At 44.2% G+C, this 1,258-nt stretch overlaps 1 annotated feature.

Annotated features, from left to right (window-relative positions):
• Window positions 824-994: a silencer, noted in NCBI's record as "fragment chr14:70061623-70061793 (GRCh37/hg19 assembly coordinates)". NCBI's record gives its function as "represses an EF-1alpha promoter that drives an FKBP-Casp9 reporter gene in an ReSE screen in phorbol 12-myristate 13-acetate-treated (for megakaryocytic differentiation) K562 erythroleukemia cells {active_cell/tissue: K562(+PMA)}" and the evidence as "EXISTENCE:reporter gene assay evidence [ECO:0000049][PMID:32094911]".

The following is a 1,258-nucleotide window of genomic DNA, read 5'->3' as shown; positions in this document are numbered from 1 at the left end:
CAAGCTGGCTCTGCACTTCGTAGTGATGGGCAATGCATGAGACTGCTGATGCATCTCAATGCAGAATGCATGTGGCAATGCTGATTTGTATGAAGAATTAAATTTCTTTGGAAAAATTGTTCCATGAGAATCATCCCCTCTAAATGCATTGAAATTTATATTTTGAAATAATTTATCAGAATTTCGGGGGTAATTTATCAGTATTCCAATGTTGTCACATCCATAAAATACTTAGTGAGAGCAGTGCTTAGTGAGAAGCTTTATGAGACCAGTTACCATGCGAATGCATTGGCCTCCCAGAGGCAGCGGGAGGGCAGATAGAAAGGGGAGCCAGAAGACTCAGGACAATTTTAGAATCTACACAGAGGCACCTTCTGCACAACTCCATGGGGGAGCTGGCTGCTTGGCATCCCAGAGGGCACAGGAGTCCTCGGTTGTGGCCAAAAGCCTGTTCATAAGGACTGCTGCTTCTCACAGTAATTCAGGGAGCAACCCACCAGCTACAAGGCCTTCTACCTATCACCTCTAACTCCCTGCATTTTCTCTCTGTGCCGCTATCACATCTATTCCTTTTCCTGACTTCCCTTCAACTTCAACTTTTTCCTTCTTCGTGCTTCTCTTCCAACCCTTCTAGAGTGCCTGCCCTACTCACCTTTGCAGAATGTCATGCCTGGGGGCAGGCTCAGATCTTCTTTGGTGGTAAGAAATACTTTCAGAGAAAAGTTAATTTCAGAGGAACTAGAGAGATGAAAACCCTTCTCTCATCAGCCAAGAATAAATGAGAAAAACATGACAAAGGGGAACGGGCCTCAAAATGCAAGTATCTTTTAAGGCTTCAGTGAAATCCAAGCCTCCAGCCTCTCAACAGCTTTCAGGGAATGTCGTCTCAGCTTCTGAAGTCACCGCCCAAGAACAAGCCCAGGTCTTGAGCTGAGATGAACAATGACAGCAAAGAGAATTTGCTCAGCTAATGGAACATCCCAGCCCAAGACACGCATTGTCAGTGATGACTCTTGGGCCGCTTCTAATAAATTACATGTGTGCTCGAGGTCTCAGTTAAAAGAGCATTTCACATTCATACCTACCCAATAAGGCAGGGATTATCAGCCTTACTTTAGCAATAGGAAATGAGGGCTCAGAAAAGTCAACTAACTAGTTCAAAGTCACCAGCTAGTAAGTGTCAGAGCCAGGATTCAAACCCAAATCCAATGCTCTTTTTTTTTTTTTTTTTTTTTGAGACACAGTCTTGCTGTGCCAC

The sequence above is a fragment of the Homo sapiens genome, chromosome 14, assembly GCF_000001405.40.
Source record: "Homo sapiens chromosome 14, GRCh38.p14 Primary Assembly".
Classification (NCBI taxonomy): Eukaryota; Metazoa; Chordata; class Mammalia; order Primates; family Hominidae; genus Homo; species Homo sapiens.
The sequence above is the reverse complement of the archived record's forward strand: the minus strand, read 5'-3'. Positions and strand labels throughout refer to the sequence as shown.